General features: G+C 52.2%; 1 protein-coding gene across 20 annotated transcripts in view, besides 4 other annotated features; it reads right to left on the bottom strand.

Moving 5' to 3' along the window:
* HPCAL1 (hippocalcin like 1) overlaps positions 1 to 23,498 on the bottom strand; it is a 124,701-nt gene that overhangs the window by 32,291 nt on the left and 68,912 nt on the right. For 3 of the 20 annotated variants that reach the window (XM_047444099.1, XM_005246163.2, XM_005246160.2), the window contains exon 2: positions 7,504 to 7,553. The exons of 14 other annotated variants lie outside the window; for them this stretch is intronic. The gene's annotated coding sequence lies outside the window, so the exon portion shown is untranslated. Of the gene's footprint in view, positions 1 to 5,736; positions 7,554 to 20,733; positions 21,709 to 23,498 lie in introns of all 20 variants that reach the window. 3 more of the 20 variants (XM_047444095.1, XM_047444097.1, XM_047444100.1) reach the window with 3 other exon arrangements.
* Positions 11,712 to 12,365: an enhancer, noted in NCBI's record as "H3K4me1 hESC enhancer chr2:10523075-10523728 (GRCh37/hg19 assembly coordinates)". NCBI's record gives its function as "activates a minimal SCP1, AML or CMV promoter by ChIP-STARR-seq in naive and primed H9 embryonic stem cells {active_cell/tissue: H9 hESC(naive and primed)}" and the evidence as "EXISTENCE:reporter gene assay evidence [ECO:0000049][PMID:30033119]".
* Positions 12,366 to 13,021: an enhancer, noted in NCBI's record as "H3K4me1 hESC enhancer chr2:10522419-10523074 (GRCh37/hg19 assembly coordinates)". NCBI's record gives its function as "activates a minimal SCP1, AML or CMV promoter by ChIP-STARR-seq in naive and primed H9 embryonic stem cells {active_cell/tissue: H9 hESC(naive and primed)}" and the evidence as "EXISTENCE:reporter gene assay evidence [ECO:0000049][PMID:30033119]".
* Positions 20,848 to 21,573: an enhancer, noted in NCBI's record as "H3K4me1 hESC enhancer chr2:10513867-10514592 (GRCh37/hg19 assembly coordinates)". NCBI's record gives its function as "activates a minimal SCP1, AML or CMV promoter by ChIP-STARR-seq in naive and primed H9 embryonic stem cells {active_cell/tissue: H9 hESC(naive and primed)}" and the evidence as "EXISTENCE:reporter gene assay evidence [ECO:0000049][PMID:30033119]".
* Positions 21,574 to 22,301: an enhancer, noted in NCBI's record as "H3K4me1 hESC enhancer chr2:10513139-10513866 (GRCh37/hg19 assembly coordinates)". NCBI's record gives its function as "activates a minimal SCP1, AML or CMV promoter by ChIP-STARR-seq in primed H9 embryonic stem cells {active_cell/tissue: H9 hESC(primed)}" and the evidence as "EXISTENCE:reporter gene assay evidence [ECO:0000049][PMID:30033119]".

Below are 23,498 nucleotides of genomic sequence, written 5' to 3'. Positions count from 1 at the left end.
TGCTCAGAGTTAAATTTCTACTGTTTCCCAAATATAGAATTTTGTAGGCCAATTATGGAATGTAAACTCACTGCTAGAATTCAAGACCTGACAAAGTCATACATCTTCCCACCAGAAATTCTCACTGCAAGGTCCCTATGCTTTTAAGATAGCAGTGTGTGTGTGTGTGTGTGTGTGTGTGTGTGTGTGTGTGTGTGTGTTTTAAAGATAGATTTTAGGCTGGACACCATTGTTCACGCCTGTAATCCCAGCACTCTGGGAAGCTGAGGCAGGTGGATTGCTTGACTCCAGGAGTTCGAGACCACCCTGGGCAACATGATGAAATGCCATCTCTACTAAAAATACAAAAAATTAGCCATGCGTGGTGGTGCGTGCCTGTAGTCCCAGCTACCTGGGAGGCTGAGGTGGGAAGATCACCTGGGCCCAGAAGGCTGAGGTTGCAGTGAGCCGAGATCACACCACTGCACTCCAGCCTGGGTGACAGTGAAATGTTGTCTCAAAAAAATAAAATAAAATAAAAGATTTTATTTTTTAGGTCTTCCCAACAAAATTGAGCAGAAAGTTCCCACACACCCCTTACACCACTCCCGGCCACAGCCTTCCCCACGATCCACATCCCCTGCCAGAGCAGGCCATTTGTTACAACTGAGGGACCTGCACTGACCATCATCACCCCCCAGGTCCGCAGCTCACGTTAGGGTTCCCTCTTGGCGTGGGCCACTCCGTGGGCTTTGACAAACGTGTACCGATGCGCACCCACCATTACAGCATCACATAGCGCGGGCTCGCTGCCCTAAAGCCCCTCTGTGCTCTCTGCCTTGCCCCATATTTTCTCACGGCGTTTTCAAATCGATGATCTCAGCCAATTTATCTCACAGCTCCGTGCGCACTGCTTTGACACTCCGAGAAATCAAGACCTGGACAGGGTCAAGGGCTCTCCACGAGGAGAAACCCAGCAATGGAACCAGCAGCAGAATGTACCAGGTCCTCATTTCATCATCCCCTTCCTACCGGCCTGGCAGAGAGCTCATTCTCAACTGTTTATGGAGAAGGAAAGAGACTCCGGGACACCAGCTCAGGTGACACTCGGCTAAATGGGGTGTGGGGCGCCCAAAACACAAATCCCCAAACCCATGCTCTGTTCTTTTCAGCTGCTCTGGTTAGTTACAAGGTTTTTTTTTTGTTTGTTTGTTTTTCAGGAGACAGGATCTCGCTCTGTCACCCAGGCTGGAGCGCAGTGGCACAATCAAAGCTCACTGCAGCCTCAACCTCCCAGGCTCAAGCAATCCTCCAGCCTCAGCCTCCCAAGTAACTGGGACTACAGGTGCACCCCAATCTTTTTTTTTTTTTTTTTCATTTTTAGTAGAGATGAGATCTCACTGCATTGCCCAGGCTGGTCTCAAATTCCTGGGCTCAAGCCATCTGCCTGCCTTGGCCTCCCTCAGTACTGGGATTACAGGTGTGAGCCACCACGCCCGGGCCTAAAGGGGATTTTTAAAAGGCCATGGAATGCAGTGAATAAGCATCCTCCTGGGGTAGGAGGGGCCTCTGCATGCCCCCAGCTGGAGCAGGTGAGCACAAGCCTGCTGGCACGCTCAGCAAGCACACCCTATCTCCACATTGAGGTCCCTCGCTATCTGGTTGCAAAGGCCCCACTGTCTCCAGCTTCCTGGGGGCAGCCCTGCCTGGCCAGCACTCTCAGTGACCAGCTCCACAGAGGCATCTTTCCTCTGTCCCACCACAGCCAGGCCAGCTGAAGGGGAAAATGCTGGGTGGTGGGAGGGTGGAGAGGAAGTGCTGGTTCCAGGTTGGCCTGTGCCTTGGGCACATCCTGTGACCTCTGCCATTTCCAGTTTCCCCATCTGTGACAAAGTGGATGAGCTGGACTCCGCAGAGGAGGCCCAGCCAGCTCTGACACCAGGCTTCCTAGCAGGAAGGGGGTCTGCTGTTCCGGAGACCTTGAAGGAATTGGCGCTCAGGCTGCTTGGGAACACTCCATTAACTCGAATTGCAAATTTCCTCCTGGCTCTATCTCTAAGCCACAGGGGCTCCCTGGCCACCAGCTTCCCAGTGACAGATAGAGATTACAGTCATTGCTCGAGACAGAATCAAGTAGCAGAAGTCATTATGCAGAAATAATTATGTTGAGTTATGTCTGGTTGCTCCCGATTTCTGTCTGGCGATTGTCTTACAAATTGCCATGCCTCTTCCTCTAGAAAAGCAAAATGCAGAGGCCTGGGTGATTCATACAGACCTGCTGGGCACAGATCTACTGCTCCAAAGTCCTGCCAGCTGGGGCGTCACACCTTAGGGTAGGGTGCTCTGTGCTGCCCTTTGGCTGAGCGCTTGGGAGAGGAGGTTAGAAGATGAAAGCCCCAGAAGGGGACATCCGAACTCCCCAACTGGGAGTCTGAGCCCTTCACACACACGCTTTTCCTGGGGCCCTTCCGACCCCACCTCCCCCAGCCCTTCGTTCATGTCAGGCCTTAGGCCCCTCTCCGAGTCTCTGGAGAATGGCAGAGGGAGGTGGCAAGGCCAGGGGCTGCATGGCTGGACTGTCTGGAATCAAAGCCCAGCTGGACTGTTTCCTATTTCCTAACAGTGTGACCTTGACCTGTTATCTCACCTCTCCCTGCTTCCACTCCCGCATTTGTAAAATGGAGATGACAATAGTACTACCTAGCTCATCAAGTTTTTGTAAAGATTAAATGAGCTAATGCACAACAAATGCTTGGTACATAGAAAGAACTCAATAAATGTCAACTATGACTGAAAGAGCAGGGGAGGCCTGCAAAATCTAAGCCAAGTAGAAAGACACAAACTACCAGAACTGTCTCAAGAAAGAGACAATTTGAAAGACTTATAACACGTGAAGAGATTGAATTAGTAATCAAAACACTATCCACAAAGAAAAGCCCTGGCCAAATAGCTTCACTACTGAATTCTACAAATATTTAAGGAATACCAATTCTTGGCCAGGTGTGGTGGCTCGCACCTGTAATCCCAGCCCTAAGGGAGGCCAAGGTGGGAGGATCGCTTGAGCCCAGCACTGCGAGACCAGCCTGGGCAACATAGTGAGACCTCATCGCTACTAAATAAATAAACAAGCTAGGCATGGTGGTGCATGGGGGTAGTCCCAGCTACTCAGGAGGCTGAGGCAGAAGGATCACTTGAGCCCAGGAGTTCAAGGCTGCAGTGAGCTATGGTCATGCCACTGCACTCCCGCCCGAGGGATAGATCGAGACCACGTCTTAAAAAACAACAACAGCCTGGCATAGTGGCTCATGCCTGTAATCCCAGCAATTTGGGAGGCCAAGGTGGGTGGATCACGAGGTCAGGAGTTCAAGACCAGCCTGGACAAGATGGTGAAATCCCGTCTCTACTAAAAATACAAAACATTAGCCGGGTGTGGTGGCACGCGCCTGTAATCCCAGCTACTCCGGAGGCTGAGGCAGAGAACTGCTTAAACCTGGAGGGGCAGAGGTTGCAGTAAGCTGAGATCGTGCCACTGCACTCCAGCCTGGGCAACAGAGCGAGACTCTGTCACAAAAACAGCAACAAGACCCCAAAAATATAATGAAAGATGCCAGACACAAAAGGACAAATGTGGTATGATTCCATCTATATAAAATGTCCAGAACAGAGACAGAAAGTAGATTCGTAGTTTCTTGGGGCTGGCAGAAGAGCGGATGGGGAAAGAGGGGCTAGCAGGTAAAGGGTACGGGTTTCCTTTTGGAGTGATGAAAGCACTCTAAAATTGACCATGGTGATAATTGCACATACAAGTGAATATGCTAAAAATCACTGAATTGTATACTTTACATTGTATACTTTAAATGGGTAAATGGTAGGGTATGTGAATTACATTTCCACAAAGCTGATTTAAACAAAAATAATAAAAAGGAATCTAAGTCAATATCCTCCTACTCCTATATGCCAGTGGACAGGAGAGCAAAGAGCAGAGTCACAAGAGCAAGGGGACAGAGTGTAGAGCTTCCAGGGGACATAACAGGTCTTAGTGCTTGTCACCCCTTACAGAGGGGAAGGGATGGATGGGTACCAACTTAGCTGACTGCAAACCCCCCTGGCAGCCTCAAATCCAGGACTGGGCCCCCAGGAAGGTGCTGGAGCTGAGCTATAAAACTGCCTTGGAGAACTCCCCAGCAGGCCCTGCAAACCTAGGCCGAGTGCCCACCATGTGTGTTAGGTACAGGGACAGCGTCCCCACCTTTGAGAAGCCCATGGCCCAGTGGGGTGCATGCAGATTAGTGCTGGGCATCGGGTAGGCAGTCAGACATAAGCTCTTAAGATCTCTCTGCCTTCAAGAAGGTGATCCAGTCCACTGAAGGTGGTGCCGGACCCCAGGCCCTCAGGAATATTCATGTTCTCTAAGGAGTTTAGACTGGAGGAACTCTCCGCTCAACTCCAGAAACAGCCCAGGCTGCCACCATGGGCACTGCAGGTCACAGTGTAAGCAGGTTATGGTTCCGGGGCCATTTCTGGGGTCAGTTCCTCCTTCTTGGCCCAGTCCCAGGCCGGGGGGTGGGGTGCATTCGGTGCCCATTTCCCTCACTGGCTGGTCTTTGGGAAAGGGTACTGGAAAAGCTTCTTCCTCCCAGTATCCAACCTCTTGCCCAGGCGCAGGCTTCACATGCTCACTGGGACCTGCAGAAAACCGGAAGTGGCCTCTCCTGCTTGCTCATAGCAGGCAGATGTGTGCTCAAGAGATGACAAATTATTTTAATATATTAGGAAATCCAACATAATTACAAAGCAAAGTCCCTTAGGGAGAAAAAATTATAATGGAGTCTGAAGTCAAAGATGGATGGTTTTGGATTATGACTATTTTGGAGGTGACTGGTTTTCAAATGACTAATTCCACTGTGGCCTCCGGGTGATAAGCACAGTTGCTCCAAGAATACTGTCACACAGACGTTTTGCACAATGACCTCTCTTCATAGAGGCATTTTCTTCCATTGTTCAATTCAAGAAACTGAGTTACAGAGGAGCCTATGTGTCCTGAGGAGACCACCAGGGTGGGCTGTGGTCTGAGACCAGACACAGAGCACAGGGTGGAAGCCAAGATGTCCACATGAGACCATCCAGGTTGCAAGCTTCACACAGGTGAAGGTCTGGAAAGACCACCCAACACCTGAGCCGCGAGTGGTCATGACTAGTGCCCAGCACCAAACCCCTGGTTCCTGGGGCACTGGGAACTGACTGGCAGGGATCCCTGACTTCCAGAGAATGTGCAATGTCTTACTGTAGCTCCTGCTGCCACTCCCACTACCAGGGCATTTGAGCTCTTGTCACATAATAAAAGGAATCTACTGTCTATGACCACTTTGAAAAACTGGCATATTTACTAAAGATGACCACACACATGCCCCGTGAAGCAGCAGCTGACCTCCTTCATGTATGTCCAACAGAAAGAAGGACACATGTCCAAGACAAAGCATGTGCAGGAACACTCAGAGCTGCACAATTTGTCCCAGCCCCACCCTGGAAACTATCCAAACATCCATGTACATTCCACGGGCAGAGAAACTGGAGTACAGTCACAACAGAGTCCCATAAAGCAATCAGAATGAACCTCAGTGCCCCACACAACAGATGCGTCTCACAACCGCAGTGTTCAGTGAAGTCAGACACGAAGCCTTACTTAATACTGTGTCTTCCTCCAGGCCACTCTAACAAATTACCATAGACTGGGTGGCTTCAATAACAAACATTTACCTCTTACAGTTCTGGGGGCTGGAAGTCCAAGATCAAGGTGCCAGCACAGTTGAGTTCTGGGGAGGGCTGTCTTCCTGGTGTACAGATGGCTCCTGATCTTGCAGGGCAGGTGAGCCCCCAAACTGGGACTTAGCCCAGGAGGGTTCTTGGCTTCACTCAGGAAAGAATTCAAGGGTGAGCCGGTGGTATTAGCAATTTTACTGAAGCAGCTGTGCCCAGCGGCAGCAGAGGGACTGTTCCTTGCGGGGCAGGGCTACCCCACAGGCAGTGTGCCCAGAGCAGCAGCTCAGAGGCGGCACTGCAATCAGATTTATTCCCACTTTTAATTACATGCAAATTAGGGGGTGGATTATGCAGAAATTTCTAGGAAAAGGGTGGTAATTTCCAGGTCGTCAGATGATTGCCACGGAAAGGAGCCGTAACTTCCGGGTATTACCATGGCAGTGGTAAACTGACATGCACACTGGTGGGCACGTCTTAGGGAAAGCTGTTTCTACCCTGGCCCTGTTGTAGCTAGTCCTCAATTTGGTCTGGTGTCTGAGTCCTGCCTCTGGAGTCGAGTCCCGCCTCCTACGTCACCTTCTCATTATATACTTGCCTGGTAGACAGCAGAGGCAGGTCTGGCTCGCATCCTCTTCCTATAAGGGCACTAATGACCAAATTACCTCCCAAAGGCCCCGCCTCCTAATAACATCCTACTCGGAGTGAGGGTCTCAGCACAGGAATTTGGGGGCACACACACAATGGGTCCACAGTACACACCAAGATGCTGCAGCGACCTGGACTCTTAAACACTGACGAGGCACTCACAGCTGCTGCTGGTGACAAAGATGGGCCTTCCCAGTAAGAGACGAGGTCGGCAGGGAGTGGGACTTGGGGGCTGGGGATGGAGTTTATATTTCATTTTAAGCACAATTGTTGTAGGAAAACTTTGAAAACCAGAGAGTGCTACAAAAATACCAGGCACCAGGGAGAGAAATCGCAGGAGTCCCTGGACCTGGGGGCAGCAGAGACAGACGGGAGACCGTGAGACCTGCAGTCTTCTCCCAGTGACAGGGGTGGGGTGGGGACAGGTCACCTCGAAACACGATGTGTTGTCTTGAGACTGAAACTTGTTTGTTCACTCAGGACCTTCCATAGGCAGGAAGGAAAATAAAACAGCTCACTGCTCACTAACAGAATTCTGGAACCTCCCGAGCCCAGTCACTGCCACCCTCACCATGGCTCCCAGATGCCACTGACCTTCTCAGGCAGCATCTGAGGCACTGAGGCACCTCCTGTTCTGGAAGGAGGAAGATAAAACAAACCTTTGCCAACATCAGAACAGTGAGGCAGCCACAGGGGAAATGCCGACGGCCCCGGGGAGGCAGGGAACAATAAATCCGCTCCCAATCCAGTACTTTCTATTTGGGGAGCCTCCTACCCTGAGACACGCCAACTGTCTGCTGTCTGTCTTGGCCGGACAACGAGCCTCTGACCTTCTCAGGAGACCTTAGAACCCTAGTCCAGAAGCCTCCAATTGTCCTCTGGGGGCTGAGGGTCCCATGGGGGGCCTGCGAGTGCAGGGAAGAAAAAGCATCCAGGCCTCCCTCCACCCCTGCATGGCCATTCACCTGCCGAACACACAGACCTCCACCTGTGATTTCAGTGGCAAGAAAAATGTTCAACTGCAAAGGAGAAAAGAAAAGAAAAGAAAGGAAAGATCCATCTTGCCCAACCCTTCCATCGTGCAGTTGAGCAAACAGGCCCTGAGAAGAAGGGTCTTACCTACACTCGCAGGTCCAGGTATGACCAGCTAACACTCCAGGTGCTGTCATCTGCTGGGCAGAGATGCAAAGATTCAGGCATCGGAATAAGTGTCCCTTGCAGGTGTTCAGACCACAAGTCACCTTTCACCTGTTGGTCACTGTCACATGAGTTGGGGCCACAAGCCTCTCTGAGTACCACTGTTAAACTTTCTAAAGTTGTGTTCGTAATGATACCGGAAGAGCAAGACAAAGGACCAACAGGAATGCAGTTTGGAACCAGGGTCAGTATCGCCTGCTTACCAGCATGGGGCCACACTGTCCCTGGTGAGGTTGTCCCTGTGCCCACCTAGATGGCTCAGAAACAGCAGGCACCCAGAGCACCAGGAACGCTGTGGGGGTGAGAGGGTGGGGGAATACACCAAGCGCTTCTCCACGTGGACGTGCCCCACAGCAGCTAGAGCCAGTCCCCAGTGCGTCACCGCATGGCCCTCGGCCAGTCACCCTTCCTCCAGGACTGCTTCCTCCACGGTACCGTGGGCATCCCACTGCTCCTCCATGCCCTTCCTGAGGAGGCCGTGAGGCTGGCACAAGGAGGTGGATTCACACGCGACTACTCTTTGGACTCATGGTCCTTAACACAGAAGGCTGAATGTGGCACTTACGGGTCCCCTCAGGAGCCCTTGACTGCCACATCCTGTTCCACCTGCTCCTCATGGGTGCTGGACAGGTACAGACCATCCCCCCATCTGCAGATGAGAAACAGGCTCTGAGCCACTTGCCCCGGGCGACACAGCCACCAGCACTGCACCAGGAATCACACTTGGGCCCACCTGGCCTGCAAGCCCCGCTTCTCCCACTGGCCACTCCCTGGGCACTGTCCCTGCCTCATGTGGAGGCCAGAGACCAACTCTCACCCAGAGAGCAATAAGAGAGGGAGGAAAGCAGCCCCAGTGAGCCATTGCAGTGAAATTAAGCAATGCCGTGCAAGGCGGTGCAGAGGGTGGGTAGGGCCTGAGGTGGGTCCATGGAGAGGTGGAAGGGGTCCAGGCAGCGGGGCTGGTGGGGGGTGCTCCAGCTGGCCATCTGAAGCGTGGTCTCCTCCACCAAGCTCCAAGGCCCCTGCCACTGATGACAACCTCCTGCAGCTCCCCCAGCCTGCAGACCTTTGTGGTTTGGCATTCAAAGCCCCTGACACCCACCTGAGTCCTCAATCTCACCCAGTGGGCAGATTAAAGATGCCAAAAATTTGAGACTCTCCCACACTGCCATCTCACACAACCTCACCCCCTCCCAGGGCCCTGGGCCACTTGGGAGGGCTTACCTGTAACCTGGGGGGGGGTCTTTCTCCCCACATCAAAGCCCCTGCCCAGCATCTGCAGCCAGGGGGACTCTCAATAAACATGTAAATGATTCCACAGACCCACTCAGTGCTGAAACAACAACCAAAGAATAAACATTAAATGAATGAGTCAGCGAGTAGGCAGCTCAGAGCATGGAGCCACGCAAGAGAGGCCAGGGAGGAAGGACCAAGCCCATTCACGGAGGGCTTTGAATACTGAATTCAGGCTGCATTTGGCAACAGGGAGCCATGGTGGGCTCTTGAGCAATGGACCCAGAGGATCAACATGGTGGCCCAGGCAAGATGGAAGGCACATGTCTAAACCGACATCAGGGAGGCCCTGAGGAGGTGAGGGAGCAACCTAGGCTGGGGTGTGGCTGGCCCATGTGAAAGTCCGAGATGTTCAAGAGCGACTGTGACGTTATGTGGCTCAGCTTGTCACACGCAAGTCCTGCTGTGTTATCGACATTAATATTCTAATTGCCAGACAGCCGTAAAACCCAAGGCCAGCACATGCTCAGTGGCCAGAGGCTTCCCAAACAGGCAGAGCAGGAAGAAAAGCCCCCAGAGAGGAGAGGCTCCGGACACCCCCCGACACGAGGCCGACAAATCAGCAGCCTGGAACCAGGCGTCCAGGGCAGTGGGGGATTAAGCCAAATTCTCCTGCTGAAATCACTTAATCAGGAGCCTACAGAACATGTGGGGGCTCGGCTGCAGATGAAGGAATAAGTCATCTGAAAACAGAAATAAATTATTCATTCCCTGCAAATGAGCAGCCTCTGGGTTCCCACAGCAGCCGTCGCGCCACAAACATCCAAAAGGCTCGGCAAATCCTATTAGTGACACCACGCGGCCAAGCAGACACCGGATTCTGCCATCGTCCATGCAGACAGCTTGCCGTGATCTCCTCTACAGCTTCTCATTCTGCATCCGCAAGTGAAATCAGCCCAGCACATTGGATGAAAAAATCACAGCCCAGCCCGGCCTCCGAGAGAAGCAGCAAGTGTCTGCACCCAAGGAACTTGGATCACCAAGCCTCCCTGCCAGGGAAGCAAGCCTGGAGCAGGTGCTTGCTAGAATGCAGATTCCTGGGCCCTGTCCCACACAACCTCCAGGGGTTCAGCCCTGCATTCCCGACAAGTGACCGGGAGCTGAAGCCACCAGTAGGAAGCACTGGGGTCCTGGAGTCCCCCAGGGACGTAAGCTCGGCAGGCCAGCCTCACGCCACTGGGCAGCCTTAGGTCAGATTCTCAGCCTCTCCAGGCCCAGGGGCTGGGAGGGGCTGATGGGAAGATGGCAAGGACCACCGCACAGCTGCTCACTCACATGCGCACTCAGTGGAGGCCACTCATGGTGGGGTCTTCCTGTCACCTCTATCTTTTTTTTTTTTTTTGAGACGGAGTCTTGCTCTATCGCCAGGCTGGCTCACTGCAACCTTCACCTCCCGGGTTCAAGTGATTCTCCTGCCTCAACCTCCCAAGTAGCTGGGATTACAGGCGTGTGCCACCATGCCCAGCTAATTTTTGTATTTTTAGTAGAGACGGGGTTTCACCATGTTGGCCAGGATGGTCTCCATCTCTTGACCTTGTGATCCACCCACCTCGGCCTCCCAAAGCGTTGGGATTACAGGCATGAGCCACCGCACCCAGCCTGTCGCCTCTATCTTTATTTTCACATCTTTGATTTCAGTCTGCTCAGCTCACTTCACAATCAGAAAGAGAAGTCTTGAGGCTTTCTTTAAAAGTGCCAGCCCCGGCTGCCACTGCACTGTTTACTCTGCCTAGAACACTCCCTAACTCCCCAGTGAACTGCTCTTCCTTCAGACCCCAGCTCAGGGTCCCTCCCTAGGGAAGCCCCTGAAACTCCCAGCTGCTGGCTTTCATAGCACTGAGCACCTCCCCTTCATCCACTCTGCCACCGAGATTCCACTTTTCTGGGATTTGCAGATTAGCATCTGTAGCCCCATGGGGGAGGGGGCCTTGCCCCAGTGCCCAGCACAGCACCGTGCACCAAGCAAGCATGGCAGTTTGTGGAGGGCAGTAGTGAGTGTGAGCGAGGGGACACCACAGATGGTAACCTGGGCTCTCCTCTCTCCCCAGGGTGGGTGCCCAAAACCCTTCCCTCCAGACATCCCACGGGGATGTGTGGAGGGTGTTCTCTCCCTCCACCCCTCTCCTCCCACAAGGGGTATTTTGCAAGAACACCACTGGCAGCCCCATCCACTCCTAGTGAGGGGAAGCAGCTCATCTGATGTGACTGAAGAAAGAAATGACCTTCCTGCCGGGCCGCCACCTCCCTCACCTTGTCCCCACCCTGAGGGAGGAGGTCTGGGGTTGTTCTTTTGTCTGCCTAGGATTGGGAAGTTTATTTTAAAGGGTGGGGCAAGTATTAGGATGCTGATTCTTGCCATGGAGCCAGCTTACCAATCCAGAGCCACCAGCAAAAGGTGTGTGTGTGTGTGGGTGTGTGTGTGTACGCGATGTATATGCATGTGTAATTATATGTACACACATATAATTTAGTGACTTCAACCTGAGTGATTTTCCCGGGTACATTTGGCAATGTCTGGAGATATTTTTGGTTATTACAACTGGGGAGTTGAGGGGACATGCCTACCAGCATCTTATGGGTAGGGCCAAGGATACTGCTCAATACCCCACAATGCACAGGACAGCCCCCCCTTCCCCGCACACACCAAAGAATTATGCTTCTCCAAATGGCAACAGTGCTGAGGTGAGGAGACTCGACAAATATATTCCCCTACTGGTCACCTCTTAGATTTACCTTTTTTTTCTTTTCTTTTCTTTTTTTTTTGAGAAAGGGTCTCACTCAGGGCTGGGTGGCTCACACTTGTAATCCCAGCACTTTGGCAGGCTGAAGTGGGCAGATCACTTGAGGCCAGGAGTTTGAGACCAGCCTGGCCAACATAGTGAAACCCAGTCTCTACTAAAAATACAAAAATTAGCTGGGTGTGGTGGCAGGTGCCTGTAATCGCAGCTACTTGGCAGGCTGAGGCAAAAGAATTGCTTAAACTTGGGAGGTGGAGGTTGCAGTGAGCCGAGATCGTGCCACTGCACTCCAGCCTGGGCAACAGAGCAAGATGCGGTCTGAAAAAAAAGGGGGGTGGGTCTCACTCTGTCACCCAGGCTGGAGCACAGTGGCGCGATCTTGGCTCACTGCAGCCTCAACCTCTTGGGCTCAAGTGATCCTCCTACCTCAGCCTCCTGAGTAGCTGGGACCACAGGCACATGACACCACGCCAGGCTAGTTTTGTTTACTTTTGTAGAGAGGAGGTCTTACTATGTTGCCCAGGCTGGTCAGGACTCCTGGGCTCAAGCAGTCCTCCTGCCTCAGCTTCCCAAAGTGCTGGGATGACAGGCATGAGCCGCCGCGCCCAGCCAGATTCACCTTTTGACTAGTTGCAGACTCTAATGGTAAGGGGTTGCAGATTAAACCACGCCTCATTCCCAGAGGAGGAGTCAAAGGTGCTGCAGGGTGTCCCGCACACCACTGCCCTGGAGAGTGGTGCACAAGCGAGCCGCCACTCCCCTCCTGTTCTTAAACAGGAAGGAGCTCGAGGAAACGCAGCTTCAAGTGCTCAGGAAAAGGGCTGAGTGCCCTGTGGTGTGGCTGGGCAGAAACAGGAAGGTGTGCAGCCTTCACGGCTGGTTTGCTGTGGAGAGCACACTCCCACACTCAGCAGCTGCAGCCGGGCACAGGAGGTCTTCACTGGGTCCCACACGGGAGCAGGGAGGGGGTGGTGCATGCGGCTTCTCATCCAGAACCTCATAGAGCTGTTTGGTTCCTGCCTCTACTCTAGCTGACTTGCTTGGGATGCGTGGCCCTCCACGCAGTGCTTTGCATGTGGTCATTTCCCTTTTTTTTTTTTTTTTTTTTAATTAATGAACTTTATTTTTTAGAGCTGTTTAGTTCACAGCAAAATCGCGTGGAAAGCACAGAGTTCTCTACATACCTCCTGCCCTCCCTACTACCAGGGTGGCTGTTTGTTACAACGGATGAACCCGCCTTGTCTCTTCACACGTCATTATCACCCAAGTCCGTAGGTTACATTAGGACTCACTGCTGGTGCTGTATATTCTATGGGTTTTGACAACTGTGCAATGACATGGCTCCCCCACTACAGTATCACACAGAGCAGTTTCACTGCCTTAAAAATGCCCTGTGCTCTGCCTGCTCATCCCTCCCTCCCTCCTAACCCGTAGGAACCACTGATCTGTTTATTATCTCCATCGCTTTGCCTTTCCTAGGATATCATAGAGTTGCAATCCTCCATAGGCATAGCCTTTTCAGATTGGCTTCTCTCACCTACTCATATGCAGATGAGTTCCCCCATGTCTTTTCATGGCTTGCTAGCTCATTTCTTCTTAGTGCTGTGGAATAATATTCCATTGTCTGGATGCACCACAGCTAATTTATCCATTCACCTGCTGAAGGACACCTTCGCTGCCTCCAAGTTCCAGCTGTTATGAATAATCGTGAATAAAGTCGCTATGAACACCCATGTGCAGGTTTTTGTGTGGACATAAGTTTTTTTAACTCCTCTGGGTAAATATCAAGGAGCATGATTGTTGGATCACAGGGTAAAAGTGTGTTTAGCTTTCTAAGGATTTGTCAAACTGTCTTCCAAGGTGGCTGTACTGTTTTGCGTTCCCACCAGCAGTGAGTGAGGCTTCCTGTGGCTTCACATCCTCCCTCGCATTTGGTGCTGAGTGTCCTGGATTTGGGCCATTCTCATCGGTGTTTGCTTTGATTTACAATTCCCTGACAGCCATTTGTTTTTAAGCCACATTACTTTAAGATCACACAGGACCAATCTTTACTGTGAACCAAAGTCTCAAAATTGCCATCAGGGATCCCAAATGACATGATGCTCTGGCGGCGCAGAGCACCTGGGCAGGAGGTGATATAAAGGGAGGATACCCCAAGTTGCCCAGAAGACAGGCTGACAAACATTGTCCCTGTAGTCCTGCCTGATGTGACAACGCCCTGTCTACACTGGAACACGAACATCTCCACGCAGTGCGCATTACAGTCCAGAAGGAGCGTCGCATCCACTTTGTCACTTAATGCCTGGAAACCCAGACCTGAGGTGGGAGGAAACTTGCTGGAGCCACACAGCGGGAAGGGAGAGTCAAGGTCCCTGTGCAGAGCTTTGGCTGGGGCTCAGCAGAGCCACGTCTCTGTTGTTCAAAGCACAACGTAACATCCTTGTGGAATCTTTAAGGAGCTTAGATGCCTCCTTGCTTAGACTAAGGGCCTATCTGGTATTTCACAGATACATGCATCTCCTGGGTGGTGCCCACCTCAGGGGCACCTGCACACCTCAGACCGGGCCATCAGGCATCCTGGGGCCCCACTCTGCTCACCAGCCCCCATGAGAACTCCGGGGCTGCCTCTGTCCTGCACAAGCACTGATCCAGAGGTCCCAGGCCATCAAGATCCCCAGCGGTTCCCACACTTGAACTTTCTTATCAGGGTGGTGGGCTGGTCTTCAAGCTGGAATAGAAGTCTCATTTAGGCACTCTTTCGCTTATTCAAAACATTCTTAATTGGACTCCTACTATGTGCCAGTCACCATCCTAAGATGCAGCAGAGAACAAGAATGATTCCTGTTTTCAAGGAACCCGCAGTGTGATAAGTGCCCAGGAGATTTTGCGGCCAATGATATGTGCCATAGGTGAGTGAGTGCAGGATGCCAGGGGAGTCCGCAGAAGGGCCTCCAGCCCCACCTGGAATCTGGGAAGGCTTCCCAGAGGAGGTGACATCTAAACAGAGACTTGAAGAGTGAATAATAGTCATGCAGAGAGAAAGAGAAAATGGGGAGGGGTGGGTTGTAGGGAGCAACCCTGCTAGGGACTTTACAAGAAGCTACACCCAGACAGAAGTAGCTCAGCCCTGCAGGAAGGTGGCCCTCTGTGGACACACCATGGAGGCCAGTGGGTGATGGCAGTCAGCACCCCCAGCTTTCTAGGCCTGAATGGATCACAGCTGGGGAGGCCTTTGGCCCAGAGCCAGAAGGCTTGTCCCAGCAGACTGGTCTGGCTGGAAAAATCCCAATTCAACAACACAAGCAGCGCACACCCACCCACACCCCTGCCCCAGCAGACCCTACATAAATAGTCCCCAGATCTCGTGGGCCCTGGTGTGCCCACTAAGATGGGGGCTGAGCCCAGGGGACATACATGTGGCTTATTTGCCAACCTGCCCACACACTTCCTCACTACCCCAGAGCACAGAAGCTGCTGTCTCCAGACCAAGCAAACCTTGCACACTTCTGACTGAGAGCTGCATTTGTTTTTCTTAATTGCGAATCTACTGTGGCCAAGGGAAAAGCCGCCCAACAATTGCACAACACACTCAGTCTGCAGCTCTGAGACGCAGGTACTCGTGCAATTAAATCTGTGCAGAGCTTTTCTGAAGTGGTTCTAATTCCTGCCTGGACCTCCAGATGGACTCAGGTCAGGAATCCACCTTCCCTAACAAGAGGGCATGCCTGACTTGGGGGAGCTTTGTCCAAAGTATTCATGGTTGGGCCACATCTGATTCCAGTTGAGGGGGGCTGCAGTATAGCCAGCATGGACAGACTAAGAAAGAGCCACTGGTTCTGAGTGTGCGCTCAAGCCTCTTCAATGCTATTGTCTCCCAAACCTATACTCTCATGAATGGACGACTCTATACTTAAACCAGAGTGCAAAGCCTGCCTTTAACCCTGTGAAATTTTATCTTATTTTCAGCTCATCTTTTCAAGCGACCAGAGCCTCTGGAATTTAATAGCATTCCAGTTTTGCACCCTTAGCCAATCTGATGTACATACCAGGGCTGATAAAGCAGATGGGGGAACTGCTGGCATGGTTAAGGCAAAGCCTATTGAGAGACATCCAGTGGTCATGGTCATCCCATCACTCAAGGCCTTGGAGGCCGGGCCATCGGACCATCTGCGCAGCTATCTAACTGTACCACTGCTCAGCTCCCATTGCAGAAGGGTCAGCCACGGCCATAGCTCCTGCTCATAGCCCAGCCCAGCCCACCAAGAAAAGGAGCCAGGCCTGTCCACTCCCACATCCATCCACCCTCAGGAGCCCCATGGGCCACACCCATGGGGTGTCACAAACACTTTCCCTCCAAAGTAACTTCCACAAGCAACACCTCGCTCATCCTCACAATTTTTCTGGGAAACCAGTTGTGAGGGACATTTACAAGCAGAAAGAGGGAGGCACGGGTTTTTGGAAAGCTGCAAGGCTGGACTTCAAATGTAGTCTTCGGAATCACGCACTGGCCCAGGTGGACAAATTTTTATATTTTTAGTAGAGATGGGGGTTTCACCATGTTGGCCAGGCTGGTCTCGAACTCCTGACCTCAAGTGATCTGCCCGTCTTGGCCTCACAAAGTGCTGGGATTACAGGTAGGAGCGACCGCACCCGACCGCAAATATTTTTAATGATACAGGAAATGAATGATATTGTCTTAAGTGGAAAGAAAAAGCGGGACCTGAAACAAATACATAGCATGACTCAATTACAGCATGAGTCTGTCCGCCTCGCTGTAAATGAATACTGACCAGAAGAAATGGACCCATATGTCTGCTGTGATGATCTCTGAATTGTAGGATTATGCATTATAATTGTTTCTGTATTTTCCACATTTTCTACCGTGAGGATTTAACATCTATAACCAGCTCAGGTGCCCAGCAAACAGCAGCCTCTCTCCAGTTCCTCCCTGGAACATGCAATGTGGTCATGGACTGAACGGCTGTGCCCTCTCCTCAAATGTGTACCCAGGCGCCCTAACCCCGAGGGCGATGGTGGTAGGGGGTGGGGCCTTTGGAAAGTAATTAGGTTGCGGTGAGGTCAGGAGAGTGAGGCCCCCATGATGGTATTAGTGTCCTTGTAAGAAGAGGAAGAGACTATAGTTTGCTCTCATTCCACAGGAGGACACAGAGAAAAAAGCCACCTGCAAAGCAGGAAGAGCCCTCCCCAGAACCTGACAATGCGGACGCCCTGATCTAGACCTCCCGCCTCCAGAGCTGAGTATGTGTCTGCATTTAGGCGGCCCGGTCCATGGAGCTTTGTTATGGCAGCAGGTGAGAGCTGAGGCAAGCACCCTCCTTTATCGGGACAGGAAGTAAAACTAACAGCTGCAACCAAATCTGTCTGGCCCTGCACAAGCCTTGGAAATATTAACTGTGTGTGCAAACGAGTCCCACACCTCCCTTCAAAGCAGTAAAAAAAAAAAAAAAAAAAAAAAAACATGAAACCACCTTTCTCTACTTTTTCTTGGGCAAGTAGCTGCAGAATCCTGACTCTGCAAGACGGCAGAGAATTCAGATGCTGGCACCATCCTTAGGGTCCCGCCATGTCCTAAACCCCATCAAGAACCTTAAACCCAGACAAGTTACCCCAGAAGAGCCAGTGTCATCCCATCCTCCAATGTCCAGCCTGTCGTGAGGTCACAGGACTGGAAATTACCGCCTTGGTCAATTAAGGCCTTCAGTCCAAAGTCGAAACGCCTCCCCGCCTCACCCGTGCCCTCAACCAGCATCTTCGCCGCCTCCTTGCACTCTCTGAAATGCCCTCCCTGTGCCTGCCCCGTCCCCTTGGTGGCTTGCCGCCCTTGAATACCCTCCCCCGTGCCTGGCCCCCCTCGGTGGCTCACCACCCTGGGGATGGGGATGGGGATTCTGGTGTCCCTTTATGTTTCTGTGTTCACTGTTCACACTGGACTCAGTTCCTCAAGAGAACACCCTCATAACCTTTTGTATCTTGGTGCCCGGCCAGGGTCTGCCCTCAGAGTGCATGCTCAGCCAGGGCTGCTCAGGAGGTGCCAGTGTGGGGAGGTGGGCAGGACACGGGAGCCAGGGGGAGGAGGGGGCTGCCGAGAGCTGGCAGGGGGCTTCAGAGGTGGCAGGGGCCCTGCCGACAGAGGGTGGAAGAGTGTGTGCGGGCAGACAGTGCGTGAAAGGACAGGGATGGGGGTGTGGTCGTGACACTCAGATGGCAGCAGGTGGGCACAGCAGGTGCCCGCGGCGAGTGAGAGTTGTTGACTGTACTGGTGTCCACAGAGTTGAGCAGCCGGCAGAATGCCAGTTACCTTTGCAAGCACTGTTCAGACACCTTTCCAGGTAAAGCACTGCTGGTGTGAAGCAGTGGAAAGGTGCAGCCTGGGGCCTGGCTCGGGGGCAGGGTTGCATTTGCTGCGGCTCCACTCAGCCGCCTTCCACCTGCCATTCGGGGCGGCGCGGCCTGCGTGGCAGCCTCCTCACACCTCTCAACAGCGCTTTCTAGAAGGATGCAGCCTCACTATTGAACAGCAGGATGTTCATTAAAGAAGTTAACGGTGCACACCCAGGAACAGAGTACTGCCTTCAAATTTGGGCCACAAGGGATGATTTTAATAACACAGGACAACATATCTGATTAATACAATACAGTATGTATTGTATTACATACATGTATTGTACTACACACAATACAATACGGTATGTATTGTACTACACACAATACAATACGGTATGTATTGTACTACACACAATACAATACGGTATGTATTGTACTACACACAATACAATACGCTATGTATTGTACTACACACAATACAATACGCTATGTATTGTACTACACACAATACAATACGGTATGTATTGTATTATATACTGTTACAATACAGTATGTAAAAATGTTCTGTTTATGGCAAACTTAAATAAAATATGCATTTTGTGACAGTCAAGAGATATAAAGGCTGGGGGCAGTGGCTCACACCTGTAATCCCAGCACTTTGGGAAGCCGAGGCGGGCAGATCACTTGAGATCAGGAGTTCAAGACCAGTCTGGCTAACATGGTAAAGCCCCATCTCTACTAAAAAATACAAAAATTAACCAGGTGTGGTGATGCACGCCTGTAATCCCAGCTACTTGGGAGGCTGAGGCAGGAGGATTGCTTGAACCCAGGAAGTGGAAGTTGCAGTGAGCCGAGATTGTGCCACTGCACTGCAGCTTGGGTGAGTGAGACCCAATCTCAAAAAAAAAAAAGAGGGATTTTTTTTGTAAAGTCAAGTTTATTAAGGTATACTTTACACACAATTAAGTTCATCCTTTTAGGTGTACAGGTCACTAAGTTTTGACAAATGTGTAACCATCAACATAACAATTTCAGCACAAGACTGAAATCTTTTAAAATTATGTTAATAAATGGCTATGGCTAATGTGTTAGTCTGTTTGCATTATTACAAAGGAGTACCTGAGACTGGGGAATTTATAAAGAAAAGTGTCTTAATTGGCTCACAGTTCTGCAGCCTGTACAGGAAGCGTGGTGCCAGCATCTGCTTCTGGTGTAGCTTACGATCATGGTGGGAGGCGATGGGGAGCCAATGTGTCACATGGCAAGAGTGGGAACAAAAGAATAGGGAGGTGACACACTCTTTTAATCGACCAAATTGCTCACTCATCACCAGGGGGATGGCCCAAGCCATTCATGAGGAATCTGCCCCCCTGATCCAATCAACTCCCACCAGACCCCTCCTGCAATGCTGGGGATCACATTTCAACATGGACTTGGAGGGGACACGCATCCAAACCACATCAGCTACTATAATTATTTATTGTCTCCGCAGCTACTCTCTTGAATTATGTCATTAATTTGAGAGTTTGTCAATCGATTCCTTCGGGCCGTAAGGGAGCCAGCACCTGCTGAGTGCCTACCATGCATAAGGGGCTGTCATGGGGCTGTGTTTGGTTTCACTTCTTCCTTCAACTCTCAGAGAAAGGTATGATCCCTGTCCCTGTTGTACAGTGAGGGAACTAAAGTCTGGAAGGTAAGCACCCTGTCCCAGGTCACACAGCTGCTAACAGGATGATCTGGGCTCAAATTGATGTCAATTCTGACTTCAGAGTTTATGTTAACCCAACACGCCACACTGCAAACAACATCACCGTAATTTGTGTTCTTGGCTAACCACTTTTCTTCAAGCTTCCTAAAGGACACGAAATGGGAGTGGTGGTCGTACCTATGCCCCCTGGCCCCCCTCCCCCACGGCTCTGATGCACAGGGAGCTGTTGCTCCGCAGCTGAGGCCCCCAGGAAAGCCCCGAGTCCTGGGAGGGGCCACTGAGTGTCCAGGTGGGAGGGGCTCCCTCATCAGCCCTGTCCTGCCTGGTGAATTCTAGGTAAGAACAAAGTGTTGCTAAGTGGAAAAAACAAAAAACAAAAACAGGTTGTAAAATAGTAGATATGGAATGATCTCACTTATAGAATTATATCTATAGGAATATGCATCCAGCCAGGGCCTGCTGGGGCAGGGCACACTGTACTCCAAAATGTTACCTCTCCCGACAGGACTGTGGGTGGAAATGCTTTCCTCCCCTTCCCCGCCTCTTTTCTCTTCTGTGACTTTCTAGTATTTCTTCCCTAAAGGCAGCTGACTATGGGAGAGGTCTTCAGCTCCCCTCCAGGCTCCCAGCTCTCTGCCAAGGCCTACTCCTCTGCGGCTGGCCCAAGGAATTCTTCCATGACACGGCCCCCCAACCCATCTCTTCCTCCTTCTGTCCAGTCAGTATTTTAAGGCACCTATTCTCTGGGTGAATAAGGACAAGGGGTCCAGCCCCAGGGAGTTCTCCACTCTGGTGGAGGACACAGCAACAGCCAACATCAGCCAACAACAATCAACAAAAAGGATAAGATTACAGGCAGGGCCACGGCTGAAAGGCAGTGATCAGGGCGCCTCCTCTACGCCGTAGGGTGGAACTGCCGCCTCCACTCTGAGACCTCCCTGCTGGTGCCCAGCTCAACCCCAGGCCCTTTCCAAGAAGCCTTCTCAGAACCACATGCTATAGTTGAATTAAATACGCCCGTGTCTGTCTCCCTGCATTTCTGGAGGGCAAGGTCTGGTTCCACCGCACCTCTTGCCCTGTCCCCCGCATGGGCCCTGCAGACAGGATGCCTCCTGCTGGACCGTCAGCTCCCTGAGGGCAGGCAGGCTCGGTCTCCTTGCATCCTGAAGAGGAACAGCTGTCGCTGTAAACCTTAAAGACCACAGCAAGAACAAGAATGGTCAACACAAAATCTTGTAACGCAGGTGCCAATACTGCAACAAAGCAACCAAAAGCCAGAAGGCTGCACACCACTGTGTGTGACTGTGTGAGAAGGCGACCACCAGTGATTTTTTTTTTTTGCCCTGTATTTTGCCAATTTTCTGATATGTTCTTACATCACTCTTATAATTAAAATAAGTGTTTTATGCAGCCCGTTGTCCCAGGGCTCTGGCGTTCTGCCCCACTGACCTCGAGGACTCAGCTGAGACTGGGGATTCGAGACTCGGGGGACTTAGGATGCCCTGAAGGAAGGAAGGAGCCTGCAGCATCTGGAGCACTGCAGGCAGCAGAAGCAAGAGCCGCTGCCTGTGGGGAAGCAGGCGGGCCGGGCCAGGCCACCCGAGCTCCAGGGCCAGCCAGCCATGAGACTAGGGGACAGAGGACTTGGCCAGGACGGACTTTCCCAGAGGCCCAAAGGATAAAAACAGACCTCCTGACCCAAATGCATCATAAAGCCAACCCCGCAGAAGCCCCTGTGATGGCCGGGTTGTCTGGCCCAGAAGTTCCCAAAGACCCTGAGTTCCAAAGATTTGACCTTGGTAAGATCCTTGGGGCTAAAGTGGACAGGTCCCAGTGTGGGGGCTGAGCCTCCCACTGCATGAAGATGGCATAAACCTCTGGGGGTGGTGCTGGTGGCCTGGGCTGGGCTGCTGTGGGGGGCCTGTCTGTTCCAGAAGGCTGAGGAGCAGGTGAGAGGGGGCAGCTGCTCGAGGCTGGACGGTGGAGGCTGAGGAACCCCAGCACCTCAAGAATAGAGAAGACTTTCATCCTTGCCTTAGAATTCTGAAACATAAAAAAACAAAAAACAAAAAAAAACCTCAGCCCAGGGGACATTGTGTCTGATATCATCTATCCTGAGATCCGCTGAGCACCCAATCTCCAGTTTCTAGGAACATTTCTGTCACTCGTCACTTTCAGTGACTTTAAATTTTAATTTTTCTATTATCGAGTCGGATGATCTGATGATGCCGATGCTTCCGGGCGTCTGTGACCCCCTCATGTCTCACTCATGCAGAAGCAGCATGCCATCATGAACTGGGACCTGCTGGGGGCCCAGGCCCTGCCCCTCCCTCTGCTCCAAGCCTCAGTTTCCCCATCTGCCTCTCATCCCAAGCAAGGGATCTTACCACCTCCCTCGCCTCTGAGTCCTGCTGGCCCAAATGCTGGCCCAAAGCCACTCTCCTTCCCAGATCATCCTCTCCCTCTTCTTGGCCCTTGTAGTTACAGAAACCCAACTCATCCCTCCTGCTGCTCCAGGAAAACCCCGGCCCCGGCTCGCAGCTCTCAGGCTGCCGCTCTCACCTGCCCTGCACAGCCGTGTGGCTGAGCCTCAGAACACTGCCCAGGGCTCAGGCCAGCTTGGAGGAGAGTCAGGCAGCGCCTGTGTGTGAGGCTCCCTCTCTTGGGTCCCTTGTAGGGCTGATCCCTCCTTCTGGGGGCAGGAGGGGCTGAAGTCATGGAGGCCAGAAGAGGGGCTTTAGAGGCAGGAGGGGGGCCACAGTCCCGGGACCCAGAGCCTGGCCACCTTCTCCAGAACTGGCCACAGTTTTGGGGTCAGGGAGTTGGCTCCTTACACACCCACAGGCTCCAGATCCTGTCCTTGGGGCAGGGAACAGGAACAGCTGTCACCGTCTCCACAGGTGATGCCCTTCTGAGGAGCAGCACAGGTGTGCTCTGGCCGTGGCTGACGGAGAGCGATGGGACCCACGCCACCCTCCGGGCAGGCAGGGAGGAAGAGCTCTCCAGGCTGATCTCAGCTGTTTCGGGAAGGCTGCAGCTGGGTGAGGGGGCTTCAGGCCCCGGCTGCTGGGTTCTGCCTTGGTGACGCCACTTGCCCCCCTGTGTCACAGCCATACGCTCGCCTGTCCGCCTCCCCGATCCAACTGGGAGTTGCTGGGTGTGTCACAGCCATACGCTCGCCTGTCTGCCTCCTCAATCCAACTGGGAGCTCCTGGGGGGGGATTATGCCTTACCCATCAATGTGTCCACTGTGTTGGACACAGTATCCGGGACATAATAGGTGCTTTGTAATTGACAGAAGGCATGGAGTGGGTGCTCCATTCGCTCCTATGACTCCAGTGGGGCCCCCATGGGGCTTCCCCCACCGACAACCCTCGTCCCCCACCTTAGCCACACAGCACAGGGCACCACCCAGCTTCCTCGCCATGGCTCAGGACCTGGAGATGCGATTTTTCTGATCTTTAGCCCCGATTGAGGAATGACCAGAAATAAAGCAACACTAAAACCAGACCAGATGGTGAAAAGCGCTGGACTGATACATATTCACTGTGCACCCAACGTGTAAGCAACGTGTTTGGCTTTCAAATAAGACAAAGATGACCATTGTGTGTATTCCTTCATCTGCAAAAATAATCAGGGCAAACAAAAGAAAGGATGTGAAACACCCTCTAAGAAGGAGAGAAACATCTGAGGCGCTGGCGGGCCTGGAGGAGGCGGTTGGGCCCGCTGGCTTAAGGCTGCAGCACAGAGCCAAGCCCTGACCTGAAGCCAGTGAGCAGCAGAAAACCCCCCGGACAAAGCCAGACGTCCCCAAGGGCACATGCCTCTCCCTA

Source organism: Homo sapiens, chromosome 2 (genome assembly GCF_000001405.40).
Source record: "Homo sapiens chromosome 2, GRCh38.p14 Primary Assembly".
NCBI classification, from domain to species: domain Eukaryota; kingdom Metazoa; phylum Chordata; class Mammalia; order Primates; family Hominidae; genus Homo; species Homo sapiens.
Note: the sequence above shows the minus strand (reverse complement) of the source record. Positions and strands in the feature narration are given on the sequence as shown.